The sequence below is a fragment of the Homo sapiens genome, chromosome 8 (assembly GCF_000001405.40).
Source record: "Homo sapiens chromosome 8, GRCh38.p14 Primary Assembly".
NCBI classification, from domain to species: Eukaryota; Metazoa; Chordata; class Mammalia; order Primates; family Hominidae; genus Homo; species Homo sapiens.
The window spans coordinates 79605312-79620404 of NC_000008.11; the positions used below are offsets into that span (position 1 = coordinate 79605312).

The following is a 15093-nucleotide window of genomic DNA, read 5'->3' on the forward strand; positions in this document are numbered from 1 at the left end:
AAATGAAGGGAGGATTGTACCAGATTAAAAGAGATTTGAGAAACATAAAAGTGAATAGAATATGCGGACCATATTTGGGTCCTGTTTTAAACAAAGCAACAGTATTCTTGAGACAATCATGAAAATGTGATTATAATTGTTAAGTATTTTAACAGAATTGTATTTATGTAAGAAAGGTTCATGTTTTATAGAGATACATACTTAACTACAAAGAGTGAATTTAAATGATTGTCGTGACTTCCTTTTAAAGTTTTCAGCAAAGATGAAAAAGGAAAAAGAAACAGAAGCAATAAAGTTTTGGTAATTTCTTAACTTGACTAATACAAGTTCATTATTTGCTTTCTTGTGTCCATTTGAAATAGTTTATGACAAAAATATAAGTACAATATTTTTATATTTTGATGTAAATATTCAAGCTATTGAAATCCTCTTTCCAAAAGAGGACGTTTCCTGCGCATTCTAAATAAACCCAAATAACACATCTGCAAATCTCTGGGCAATTTCTTTTCTGCCTCAAAAGGCAGCATTTGCCGCCTAACTGCACATTGCTCTGTTTTTGCTGAACTGAACTAAAAAGATAGGTGTAGTTCAGGAAGTGATCAAACCAAAAACAGAAAAATCCATTAAATATGTGACGAGAGGAAAAAAAAGAGTGGAATGGGGTTTTGTTGTCTCTAGTTGAGTTCAAGTTTAATGTGTTTTTTTTCTTTTTTTTTTTTTTTTTTTTTTTTTTTGGAAACGGAGTCTCGCTCTGTCGCCCAGGCTGGAGTGCAGTGGCATGATCTCGGCTCACTGCAAGCTCCGCCTCCCGGGTTCAAGCCATTCTCCTGCCTCAGCTTCTGGAGTAGCTGGGACTACAGGAGCCTGCCACTATGCCCGGCTAATTTTTTCTATTTTTTAGTAGAGACGGGGTTTCACCATGTTAGCCAGGATGGTCTCGATCTCCTGACCTCGTGATCCACCCGCCTCGGCCTCCCAAAGTGCTGGGATTACAGGCGTGAGCCACCGCACCCGGCCGAGTTCAAGTCTAATGTTACTGTCAAAGTAAATATTTGATGAAATTGATTTTTAAAAATACTACCTACATCCGTTAATTCAATTCCATTTGATAACACAGCAGGATGTGGGTGGGGGAAGTTCAGAGGGTCAGAAAATTAGTTAATAAATGACTAATGAGAAAATCTCCCAGGAAGGCAGTATACTAAAATGCTTTTGCTTTTCTCTTCCCTAAATCCTCCTCCTCCTCTTTTCAGCTTGATTTAGAAAAATAAGGTTCTTAGGCAACTGTTATTGTATGTATAATGCAATGCTCACAGTAGGGGTTCTGTTTAAAAAATAAAATAAATTGAGGCTTGTGGGATAAACAGAGTGAGTCACACTTCTCCCAGATTTCTCTTCCAGGCACTTCAGTGTTGTCTCCACTGTTTGGTTTGTAAACTAAGATGCTGAGTGAAATCTCAAGGGGAACCAACTTCCCAGCTTCAATGGTGTCCAACTAATGTTCTCCCTGGACTCAAGCTGTAAATCAACTCATGGAGAGAAGGAAAAAGTTAGTTACAGTAATTGCTGCCAAGATAGCGAGTAGTTTTCAACATTATCAATTTAATGTAAAGATTCAGCTCATTAAATTTATATCAAGCCTTTCTTATGATTAGAACAAGTTTATTTCCAGAAAAGTTCAATTATAAAACTATCAATAGGATTTACTAATTTCAATAAGTCATTTTGCTTCAGGGTGAATTATACTAATTATTAATACATACAAGTCCCATTTGGACATAAAGAAAACCCTAGGTAGAGAAAAAATAATAATAATTAACTAATCATTGTTTATTTTTAAATAACTAATTTAAGAAGAAAACAATGAAGTGTGTTTGTTCCACACTTCAGAAATAACTCTAACACACTGGCAAATTCCTGAGCAATACAGAGCTCACTGCTAATAAAGAACACCAACTCTCCCTCCTTGGAATGACTTTCCTTTTGAATAAACCATATTAGACAGTTCTATTAAAGGACACATGATCCTTTTTATTTTTCATTAATCTATAAGAATTTAAACATGGCAAAATAATCAAAATGTTAAAAAGTCAACTATTTTTTCATGTGTGATTATTTTAGATGCATCTCTAAATATCTTCAGCTATAACTACTTTATATCCTAAATTTCTAAACATCTAAAAAAATTCAATGGATTTTATCTCTCACATTTCTTTTGTAATCACCTGAGGTCAGATCAAAACAATTAATTTGACCTTAACAATGTTTCTCTTATCTCACTAACTTTTAATAATTACTTTAGGATTCTTTCCCAGGCACTTGATTATGAATAGCAGAAAATCATATGACTGTGTTAGATGGCATCAGCTAATCCTCCAAAGCAACTGCTTCTCTCTGGTTTGGAAAGAAATCAACACCTCAGGCCTCCTCACAGAGATAATACACACTAGGCTATAACCCACAATAATTAAAATTTCTGTTAGCAAGTCTGTGATTTCCACAGCTCCAGCTTACTGCTGGCTGTTAAAGATAACAAAAATTAACAAGGGCCATCTACTATTGTGAGCTCTACTCATTTAGGTTCTTTGGGAATAGGGCAGGATATAAATAAATAAACACTGGTAAACAGCCTAATACCTGCTCCCAACACAAGCTAAGCAAAGGAGGTTAGAAGTGTCAATATGGTCTCACTGGATTCATCCATTTTGAATCATTTTCAACACTGTATTATTTATTATTTCACAAATTGTTTTTAACTGTCTACCACGTGAATCATGAAACCAACCACTAGGAAGGGTATAAAGATATACACTATTCATTCTCTACCTTTCAAAGGTTTAAATGTATTGGAAACACTAAATATAGTCATAGTACTTAAAATTACTATATATCCATGATGGCTTAGACAGTTCATACATGATAACCCTTCAGTCTACCCAAATCCCCACACGACAGATACTGGTTGTCCTTAGTTTATACTGTGCAAATGTAGTACCTATTCTTTGAGTGTCCACCCATTCCCATCAAAACCATTTCCTTCAGGAAAAGCTGATCTCACCTCCAGACCTCTAGGGCCAACTCTATCTATATGGTTAGACGAAACAGCAAATGCACTTTTATTATTAGTGCCAGTTTGGGTTATTTTTTCAAATTTTTGCAACAAAGTGTGATCCACAATACACAAGATCATATTCACTCCCCCAAATTAATATTTTCTTAAAGAGATGGGTGTTATATTTTCCTTCACTTTCTATTTTTCAGACATTAAGGAGAAGCTTGGCTGGCATCACAAAAGCCTGAAACATCATCAAATAAATATTTGTTGAATAAATTAGCTGAACAAATGAATAAGTGAATAACATATTGAATATGAAATAATTTTTCTGTTCATATTTCACCCTTACTTTCCCATGTGAATATGCATGATACCATATTGTAATGATAAAAGAAAACAAAAAACAATTTGATAATGGCACAGCCCTTTGAATTTATTTGTGTTTTCTTAGCTGATTGACAATTTTGCCTACTATCTTTTTATTCTATGGTAAATCATATTGACCTACTCTCTTCCCTGTTTGACATTATTTAAAAATCATTCATAACTGAAGTTAGGTGGCTAACACCTAGAAAATCGGAAATAGAAAAGAGTCACATATGTGACCCTTAGGGCAGTAGAATGAGTGTTTTGTTTTCCTCATAGTCATCAAAAGTGCAATCGATTTCATTCAGCAGCCAACTGCAGTTGTTAAAGAAACTAATGCCATGACTTAGGGCCCTTGTTCTCCAAGGAAGCTGAAGAATGTGTAGAGATGACACACAGCCTGAGGGGAAAGGGTGTGGTGGGGAGAAGAGAAATACTTTGAAAATATTAGTCACACAGACATGCTGAAGATCCTTCACCTCATGAGTGATAACTACTCCAGTGAGAGGTGATTAACTGTTACATTTAAAGTGGGAAATGCCTATATATAGAGAGAAAATGGTTATTTATTTCCAGACCCTGCCAACTTCCATATTGCTCTCTTGCTGTGTCATAGTCACAGACCTGTTCAAAGATAGGAAATATAATTTCTAATCTTCCTGTTCAAGAAATAATTTTATTGATCTCCACTTCATCTTTTATTTTCCCCATGATTCAGCAGGTCAAAACTGTTCCAGTTCCAGTAGCATCCTATCAGTCAGCAAAATGTCCATGAGGTTAAAATGTCTTACAAGTTAATAGGAGGTGAAGAAATTCATTTCAGCACCAAGGAGAGTGCCCTGCTATTTTCAATTGGTTTTATGTATTTGAAACTGTGTATTGTTCCTGAGGATAGAAAAAAAAGTTGAAATGTGATTGGACAGAAAGCTGCTAAAAACCTATTTTAATAAGAAGAAAAAAATACATTCATTTTTCTGAAATTAAAAACTTGCCAGGGTTTCATACCTGTTCATGATTGCAACAATGTGCTCTTCTTTTGGCTTTCAAACGTCGGAATTAGCAATTCTTTGCCTATTTTTCTAATATTAAAACCAGTTTCTGCATGGAATTAGACTGGCTCAATAAAGTTACAGAAGAGTTAAATTAGCAGTAATTAAAAACTTCATGCAGCAACTCCTAAACTTTTTCTCACCATTTTCAGAGCTGTGCACATGGTAAATGCTCAATACATATTTAAGTCAAGTGAAAGAGAACAAATGAATGACTGGCATCCATTAAGTGAGAAGGAGGAACTAATAAATGCCTTGTTTGTAATGAAAGTCATTTTTTGCAACTAGTCTCAAAGATCCTCACATACGACATTGCTCAATCCGAAACTTGAACACAGCCTTCCTGGGCCTACATAAACGTAGTCTCTCTGGATCTCAGAAAAATAATGACCCAGACCACACCTTTCATCTCTTCTAAGTTTTCCATGTAAAGCATTCTCCTTAGAGCCCTGGAAAGGTTACTAAAATTTTGACCCACTTAATCCTACACCTTCAGGGCAACATGGCATTCACCTGTGGTTTCCTTAATGCCCAAACCAGCCAGCCAACCTGTTTTCTGCCGTGTTAACAAATGGACAGGACACAGGCACCAGAGGTTAAACTTTCTTCCTCTTCCCCCATGTCCCCAGGTGGACCATTATTACCATCCCTATTCCCAAGCAACCAGGTAGCCCCTTCCTCTGTGCCAAGGGAAGAAAACACCATGCTTCCCTCTCCTGAGAGACCTTCAAGAGTTTAGAGACGCCTAAGTCCAGCTGTGCTAAAAGATAAAGGACAATAATGCAAGTCTGCTCTGAGCTGCCACCATAGCCAGACATAGGGTAGCCCTGAAAGACTAGAACCAAGGACAGAGCCAAAGGTGAAAGAAAATATGAAAAAGTGAAAACACAGTATTTAAACAGAATTTTCCAACAGCCTGCATATAGTGAGGACTTCTCAAGCTTCTGAATCCTTTTCCATTGAATTGTGCAATGGCACATGTATGAGCAAAGTCAAGCCTCCTGGCTCCCAGGTAGGCACAGCCCAGTTCTTAGCTCCTAGGAAGCTTCAGGGCTTAAAGCTCCACTCTACTTGGACTGTACTATCAGGCCCCCAAAATGGGGGGAGCCGACAGGGAAGGACTGATTTCCATTTCAAACTGCATTCTGGTACTTTGTACTCCAGCACCATTGGCCGATCAATATTTAATGCTTGGAGATTCTGACTCTGCGGGAGTCATGTCAGGGGACCTTGGGAGCCAATCTGCTTGAGCTTCTGAGTGATAATTATTCATGGGCTCCTGCCTCTTGCTCTTTCTCTAGCACGGTCCCACTCTGCAGACTCAGTGCCTTATTCAGTCTTCTCTCTCGCTCTCTCCGCTGCTGTAGCCGGACCCTTTGCCTTCGCCACTGCTCAGCGTCTGCACATCCCTACAATGGCTAAAACAGCAATGGGTAAGGCACTGCGCCTCGTTCTCCGTCGGCTCTACCTGGAGCCCACCTCTCACCTCCTCTCTTGAGCTCTAGAAGCATTCAGAGATATTTTATAAAGAAAAAGATGTTAATGGTAACACAGGACCAGGAAGGACAGGGCAGTTCTGGGGGAGGTGGGAGGGCAGAGAAGAGGTCTATGGAAATCTAAAGCGAAGAATTTCTTTTAAAAGGTAGAAGCGGGTAAGTTGCCCTCCTATGGGTAGAGAATTTATTCTGTTTCCATATTTAAAATTAGGACTCAATCGTGAGGGGAGGAAGCTACCTTAACTGTTTGCCTTAAATGGGCTTAAGGGACATTTTGGAAAGTGCTTTATAACGACCTTTTTTTTTTTTATTTCTTCTCTAGTTTAAGAAGAAAATAGGAAAGGGGTAAAGGGAAGGTGGGAGAAAGGAAAAAGAAAATTGCAAAGTCAAAGCGGTCCCATCCCGCTGTTTGAAAGATGGGTGGAGACGGGGGGAGGGGATGGAGAGAACTGGGCACATTTTACGGTATTGTCTCGTCGAAGAAACCGCTAGTCCTGGGGTGCGGTGCAGGGAGGTAAGACGGCGGGGGACAGGGTGGGGGTAGGACCTCCGCTCCTTTGTTTTAGGGCAAGGGAGGGGAAGGAGAGAGGAAGTCGCGGAGGGCGTGGAGGGCGCGGGTGGGCAGCTGCAGGGGCGGGGAAGCGCGCGGCAGGGAGGGGTGGAGGGACAGCGGCTTCGAAGGCGCTGGGGTGGGGTTTCTTTGTGTGCGGACCAGCGGTCCCGGGGGGAGGCACCTGCAGCGCTGGGCGCACAATGCGGACAGCCCCACCCAGTGCGGAACCGCGCAGCCCCGCCCCCCCGCCCGGTGCTGCATCTTCATTCGAAAGGGGGTCGGGTGGGGAGCGCAGCGTGACACCCAGGAGCCCAACCCTGCGGGGACAGCGGCGCCACGCCCCGCGCTCCCCGCTCCCGACTCCCCGCCGCGGCTTCCAAGAGAGACCTGACCACTGACCCCGCCCTCCCCACGCTGGCCTCATTGTTCTGCTTTTAAGAGAGATGGGAAAAGTGGGTTAACATTTTTCTTTTCGGAAGCAAATTACATAGAGTGTTTAGACATAGACACAGATAAAGGGTTCTTTGAAGACCTTTGATCGTTTGCGGGAAAAGCTTCTAGAACCTAGACATGTGTATGTATAATAATAGAGATGACATGAAATCGTATATAAAGCAAAAGAGGTCAAAGTCTTAAGTTAAGCCACGCGAAATTTCCGTTTTGTGGGTCAGACAGTGCCAAATATCGGCAATTTCATAAGCTCAGAGAGACAAGACAGTGGAGACACAGGATGACCGGAAAAGATTCTGGATTCAGGGCCTTCATCCGCAATTGGTCTTGTGCCTTGAGTGCCCACGGTTCTGGCGCTCAGTGGCCCCGGGGTGAAAAGGCAGGGTGGGGCCTGGGGTCCTGTGGCAGCTGGAAGCACGTGTCCCCCGGGACTTGGTTGCAGGATGCGGAGACAGGGAAAGCTGCCGAAAGGACTCCATCTGCGCGGCTCCGCCCTGCCCTACCCTCCCCGCGGAGCCGGGGAGACCTCAGGCTCCGAGACTGGCGGGGAAGAGGAATATGGGAGGGGCAGTTGAGCTGTATGCAGTCCTGGAACCTCTTTTTTCAGCCCCGCAGTCCACAACGGCCCGAGCACCCCTTGATGTGCGCAGACCCCCGGCGTGGCTCTCAGCCCCAGCACCGAGCCCCTCCCAGCCAAGCGGGTGGCTCTGCAGAAAAGCTGGCTCGAGCCCCGCCCGGCCACACAAAGGCGCGGCCCCACCCAGCCCGGGCGCGAGACCGCAGAGGTGACCCCCTTCCCAGGGATTCAGGGAGGGCTGTCTCTTCTCGCCCACCCACGGTCCGCGGAGCTCGGGGCTTTTTTTCCCCCAGCCCAAGCCCCCCGCCCACCCTCTGTTCTCTATGATTTTCCAGAATGGAGACCCCGCGAGGGGCTTCTCTAAGGGAGACCCTCGCTCCTCCAGCGGGGCGCGGCTCGGCCCCACCCCTCCCAGCTGAGGCCCAGAGCCGCCTACCGCTGGCCGGGTGGGGGCGCACGTGGCGACTGGGTGTGTGGAGCGCAGCCAGCCCTGCAGAGCCCCGCGCCGCGCCCTGCGCTCCCCTCCCCGGAGTTGGGCGCTCGCCCCCGCGGTGCAGCCGGGGAGACCGGTTTCTGCGCAGTGTCCTGAGCTACCCCCGCTTTCCACAATTCGCAGTTCACTCGCACGTCCAGAAAGGTTCTGAGAATGGGTGGTGGGGGCGATCTCGCCTCGCTTTCTGCACCCCTCAGAAAGGTTTCCGCTGCAGGCTAGTGGCTGCAAACTCATCGTCATCATCAGTATTATTATCATTTCAAATCGTTGTTATTATTTAATGATTCAGTAGCCTTGTTTGTTCTCATTTGTTCAAAAGGGACGTGGATTGCTCTTGGTTAAGGATTAACCCTTGTTGCGTTCGCTTTGCTTCCTCCTAATTGCCCTCATCCCTTTCCCCCACAAAAAGGTAAATTTGTCTCCAGTTGTTCATTTTAAGTTATAAAGCAAATATATTTTTGCTTCCTGCCAGGATTATGTATGTTCATGTGGCTAAGATACATGTGCAAGTGCTTGCTAAGAGCAGGGTTTGTGTGCCAACGATTGCTGGAAAATTCTCTGCAAAGAATTGTTTGTGGCTGCAATGGGTGAGAATACACATATATAATTGAGATGATCTTCAACATAAGGTTATATCTATAAATATATAAATATAGTTTATGCACAAAATTTTAAGTTTTTTCCCCTGAAACTGTTCTTCCAACTGCTGATTCTTGATACAGCCTCAATCCTACACAGATACATGGATCGTGAAATGGTAGCCGCCATCCAAATAAAAATCCCACCCCAAATATGACAAACGCAAGCATCCTTTCTGGCCATAATTTAACTGCATTTGCAAATCATGAAAAAAACACTACTTCTGCAGTATTAAAATAATAGATTTTGAAATTAATTCCAATTTCAAAGATAATTAATTATCAGGGCGAGTGCTTTTTTCCTGATTCATTAAACAATTATGTATTCAGCATGATTGTAAGAGGTGCATATAATATTCCCCATTATCTTTTCTAATGAAGTGGGCACCTTCTGAATGGATATATAAGTAACTAGAAATGAAAAGCTGAGGATTTGGTCAGAATTTCAGGATAAAACTGAAAGAAATGGCAGTAGTTTATCAATTAATCTCATGTATTTAGTTTATACCAGGTGAGTAAGCTGAGCCTGCAATAAACACTCTCTGTCCCAGTGTAACACGTCGCAGGTAGCTAGAATGATAGGATAAATTAATAGACCTTGTGGTGTTTGTCTATGCACGTTAAAATTCTCTGAGAGAAAGTATATTTTAAAATGATAATTAAGATTGGACATTTGTGCTATTAAAATCTACAACTTTAGTCAAAATTCACAATGGTTTTTTTTTACAATAATGTGACTTACAGATTTGTAGTAAATTATTCTATTCTAAAAGAGAAATGAGTGTTTTTATTGTTACAGCTATTACCTCATTAATATTTTTAGCAAACTTTTATTTGTTGCATTGAAAGCAGTTTTAATTACTTTGGGTTTTTATTTTTCAAATTACTAATGGATAGATGGTGGAATAAGCATTTAATCATTTGGCACAATATGACTTCCATCAAATAGCTCATTCTCAGTGATTAAAAAATGCTACAAGAGGCTACAATTTACTCAGATTCAGGAAATGTCCTTTCAGAGTGCCATAAGGCTGATTCATATAATAAAATAGTTTTCTTCCCTATAATTTAAGATCAAATAGTTACTTAGTTCTGTGAATACCTAGCAGTAGCTATCAAACAGAATTTTAAAGTTAAATCTGTACAACTAACAATGAAGTGGAGGATGAATCGATACATATTGAATGGAAGACTTTGTCATTGATAAATTCAGGCCATCTTTAGGAAAATTCCGGATTTATCAATCACCATTATTTTTTACTTCAACTGAGTGTGACTGATCACATGCTCAGGCTACCTTGGTAGCTCATTGCTCACAGGAGGCTGAAAAAAGCTGGCCTCCGAGCAGGAGGAAGCTCAGAGCACAAACCTAGGCCTGGGCGTGGCCACTGGGAGCTGCTGATAGCGAACCCCAGCTCACACCAGTTTCTTTTTTGGTCGTGGGAAGAAAAACACATATTATCCTGTTGTCACAAGATCTGTGACCTTATATGAAAAAATGCTAGAATTTTTTCATTAAAAAAGAAAATACTGAACTAGCCAGTGACCCAGATGTTTTCAGAACCTAGACTGGTTCTGTCCATTGGAAAACCTCGGTGTCTGCATTAACTTTTCACCACACTAGAGGGCAATCATGTTCTCTAAAAAAGCAGATGATTGATGTAAACCTAGTTCCAAATATTAACTGTTTAATAAAATCTTTTCTTTTACCAGGAACATTCAAGTGTTTATTCAATAAGCTGATGCCATGCTTTACCCTAGTGGATGAACAGAGCTTGTACAATTTTCAAGGAGACAGGATGAAATGAGTGGTCATAATCTGAAAGTAGATACACGCCCTGGTTAATTATTCCCTGATGGTTTTACTTCTCAGTTTTATTACATTGTTATTATAATACCATTTATGTTACTTCTGAGATTTTGTAGTGGATAAATAGTAGAAAAATGTCAGTAGTAATAGCAAAGTTATTTAGCAGCCGAATATTTTAATGCTTAAAAATAAAGGAATAAATTAAAGAAAATCATTGTTTACTTCTTCATCGATTGAAATGTGCCCCCTGTTCAGAGCACATCTGAATATCAGAGTCTCCACCTGCAGAGAACATGCAGCTTAGCGAGTAAAACAGGCAGGTATGTGATACTGAGGAGGTGTACCAAAAACTGACTGCTGTTATTTTTCCCATCTTCTAAGTCTGTCTTTCTTTTCCATTTAAAGATACCTTTTTAAATCTAATCCAATGTGATTTCAATCTAGTTTTATCAGATTTCAACAATTATTGAGCATCTCCTTGTAGTGGTTTTCTGTTTATTAGAAAATCGATGTTAATTTTAACGAAGTAAGAAGAAATATATAAGTATAAACTAATTTTGGGTATCATCAAAAGTGGATTTTTTAAATATGCATTGATAGAATTATTTTTTGATTACATTTTATGTAATTCTAATCCAGCTATAAAATATTTAATAGTGTCATATTACTGTGTTCCTCAAACTTTGATGTGCATATGAATTACCTTTGATTTTCATTAAAATGCAAATTCTGATTCAATACATCTGGCTTGAGGCAGACATTCTGTCTTCCGAACAAGCTCCCAGATGATGCTGATTCTGACCACTAAACACATCAGTTTTAGGGATATTAACTTGTAATATACAGGTATCCCTCCTGGTAAGCTCTGGTATTATGTCTTAACATTTTTAAATCTATGGTAATCTTTACAAAATATTTTACTTCCGAACTCATATACCTGGGGATTTTATTACTCTGGGAATTATGTGTTCTGCCCCATCACTCTCTCTTAATTGGATTTTTAAAATTATATTCATATTGCAGGACTCGGCAGAAGACCTTCGAGAGAAAGGTAGAAAATAAGAATTTGGCTCTCTGTGTGAGCATGTGTGCGTGTGTGCGAGAGAGAGAGACAGACAGCCTGCCTAAGAAGAAATGAATGTGAATGCGGCTTGTGGCACAGTTGACAAGGATGATAAATCAATAATGCAAGCTTACTATCATTTATGAATAGCAATACTGAAGAAATTAAAACAAAAGATTGCTGTCTCAATATATCTTATATTTATTATTTACCAAATTATTCTAAGAGTATTTCTTCCTGAATACCATGTGAGAAAATTCTTAAGAATTTATTGAGTATGACTGTATATTTGAAAAGAGTGTTTTCTTCTGCTTATCTAAGCCAATAAAGGATCTTCATTATTCAATTCTAACTTTCTAAGGAAGTCAACCTACAGATCAGAAAGAGGATCTTCAAGGAATAGCATCAAAGACATAGTCAGGTCTCCCATGCAGTGACTGGCTGACCATGCAGCCATTACCACCTTTCTGGAAATATTATGCTGCAAAAATGATACAATACACGAAATATCTCAAATTAAAAAATATAACATTTCCCAAATAGGGCACTAAAAACATGATCCCAAATAAAACTAGCTTCAGGGTTTGCAGAATATACTGTTACTCAACACAAAGTTGGACTAAGTCTCAAAGTTAGCCATTCAGTTGTTGTTAACAGTTCATTTCAGGGTCTCTCAGAAGCTGGGAAACTTTCCATTTTTGCAATTTCTTGTACATTGAAGGAAAGGAAGACACACTTAAGACAGCATTACAAAAGTAATTCATGTTTTAAATGTTTAATTCTGGCAGTCGGGCAGGGCTCTCTGTATAACCTCATTTGGAGATGACAAAAATCTAAACTTGAGGGCCTCGAGCCAATAAGTCTTCCTATTTCTTTACTCAAACATTTTCCCGCAATGGTGCTTTCTTTCAACTGTTTTTCTGGTGTATTCATAAATTCCAGATTCTCTATGGGAAGTAACTTTTATTGATTGATTTAACCCTTGTATAGCACATATAACATGCAAGGCATTGTTCTAAGAACTTTCCACATATTAACTGTGTTAATCACTTAATAATCCTAAGTAGGTTCTATTACAGATATGGAAACTGAGGCACAGAAAGTTGAAGTATCTTACTCAAGGTCACACAGTTAGTCAGATCCAGAATTTGGGCCCAGGCCATCTGGCTTCGGAATCCATCTTTCACCGATTGCTGCTAGTCTCATATCTGTTCCATGTTAGAGGTGAGCTCCCATTGCAGAGGTCACACCTGTGATATCACCATTTTATTTAAACAGACCAGAGATGGTCTTCTCCTTTCTGATCACAGACTCACCTTGAAGAGAAAATACTTCCAAATTGATGCCTAGTTTTAATAGCTTACCTGGGGCTTATTCAAATAATTGCCATGATTTAGGCTTTGGGAGAAAGAGAGCTATGAGGCCGTGTGGGTTGTAACGTATGAGACACATGGCGTTCTGCAGGCTCAGCACAGCATCGATTTCTGGTGGGAACACACTCTGATGACCAGTTCCAGAAATAACATTGACTTAATCTCCTCAGTCCCATCATGGTTAGCACATTTCAAAATGCCTCCTTAACTACTTCCATAGGCCAGAGATATTTAGTTTTAACATTTTGTTGAATAAAATAAATTTACACATTCACATTTAATATAACTATTAGATGTTATTTCAAGATTCTCTTCATATTACCATCAAAGCAGGCAGGCAGGCAGGAGAGAACTGTAGGAAGGTTTTGAATCCCTTGTGAAACATTTTTAATTATCTTTTAATAAAGGAATCAGGCCCTGTCATTTGTCAAGGAGACATTTGCAGTAGTAAAGCTTGTGTTTATAATATCCATTTTTATTAGTCATGATTAAAGATAACATTTGTGTACATTTGTTCTCACAAAACACTTTTATATGAGTGTAAAGGTTAATTAATGCATTTCAGCCATCATTTTGCTGGTCATGTGGAAATATAGCTTCTTTAGGAATTGTACTTAGAGTAGGAGCCACATATTATACTATAAAACCATAACAAAAATATTTTAAGTTTGTTCTCACTTGTTGTTGACCTCCAGAGTAAAATATTTAATACTCTGGAAAGTTATGGGTTTCAAAATTTATTTTATGGCAAGAAATAGATAATTACAGTTCTCATAGAGCACATTTAAAATAATTTATTTTTATAGGGCAAAAATATTGCCTAGGACTGAATGATTTTTTTTTTTTTACAAAGATTGTAAAGCAACGCCTGCAAGAGTGCCCATTTAGCAGTTATTCTTCTGGAATAATTGTATTTTGGATGTTGGAGTTCGCACATTAACCATTAGTACAAGTACCCAATATAACAATAGATCATCAGGATAATAAATCTGTCCATCTTTTAGTTGTATGTCTTTATATCAGGATAAAGAGAATTGAGTGAAATTTATCTAAACCTAGTCCCACAAATACTTTTACAAGAGAGCATGTTAAAGTGTAAATTAAATTTTTATTAGCATTCTACTCTGTCTTTGGAAGTTTTTTTTCCTTATGAAATGCAGCCATAAAGTTTAACTTCCATTAACAAAGCTGCTCACAGTAAACCTATTATAATAATAGTTTCCCAGTTTGGGCTTCCTAGTGAGGAGCAACCTAACTCACACGAAACAACCCCAACTTATAATATATTGACTGTTACAAAACTGAGACCAGAAAATCCCATCAAGATGGTACTGTTATCATTTCCAGACTCTCGGGAAGAACATTAATCATCTCAGGCACTTTTAGGATAGACTTATTGCAGCCTCCCTGGGAACTCTGCTTCAGAACATAATTATTTTTATTAATGCAGAGTTACTTTTTATTTCCAACAAAAATATCTATTGTTATTATTTAAGTCTTACAGCTTTATCTGAGAAATTCCAATTAGCACCCTTCTCATAATAAATATTCAAACACATGAAAAATTACCAAAGTTGTTCTAGTCTTTTAATGACATATTACATGATCCTGCACTCTTGTCACTTTAAAAATTATCTTTTTATTATATTTCTGATGATTTTTTTCTTATATAGTTTTTTAAAAGGAGCAGGCAAGCATAGAAGACTAAAAAATGTTCAAAAGAAAAATTAAATCGCATGATCTATCTATATGGGACCTTGTCATTTTTAGAAAACATTCACCTGCTTCATCCTTTTGAATCTTCATATAATCCCTCTGAGATGGGCATACTATACAAGTTGTCTTATTTAAAGATTGGTAAATTTAAGCTCAAATAATTTATTCAGTGGCAAGCCTCAGAGGCAGACTCGGAACACAGGTCTAATATATATTATATATATATTATAACATATAATATATATATTACATATAATAAAGTTGTGTATATTATTTACCTATCAAAATATTTATATGTAATATATAAATATGTTATATATCATGTATGTGCCTATTTCATACATATATACACATTCATGCAAAATAAGGTTTAGCACTCCCTCCACTGTCCTGTAATAAAACATGCACAGTGAGAATAGTCATACACGAGGCATATTTGTCTTCAGTTTAAAGT

The 15093-nt window shown here is 39.0% G+C and overlaps 1 protein-coding gene across 2 annotated transcripts in view, besides 1 other annotated feature; it reads left to right on the plus strand.

The window, feature by feature from the left end:
* The first annotated feature begins 5805 nt into the window (after positions 1–5805).
* Positions 5806–15093, plus strand: part of STMN2 (stathmin 2) — a 55042-nt gene continuing 45754 nt past the window's right edge. For both annotated transcript variants that reach the window (NM_001199214.2, NM_007029.4), the window contains exon 1: positions 5806–5903. In NM_001199214.2, the coding sequence (NP_001186143.1) occupies positions 5885–5903 (19 nt within the window). In that variant the 5' untranslated portion in view covers positions 5806–5884. The remainder of the gene's footprint in view (positions 5904–15093) is intronic.
* Positions 8056–8115: a silencer, noted in NCBI's record as "silent region_19310". NCBI's record gives its function as "represses an Ori minimal core promoter by ATAC-STARR-seq in GM12878 lymphoblastoid cells {active_cell/tissue: GM12878}" and the evidence as "EXISTENCE:reporter gene assay evidence [ECO:0000049][PMID:35858748]".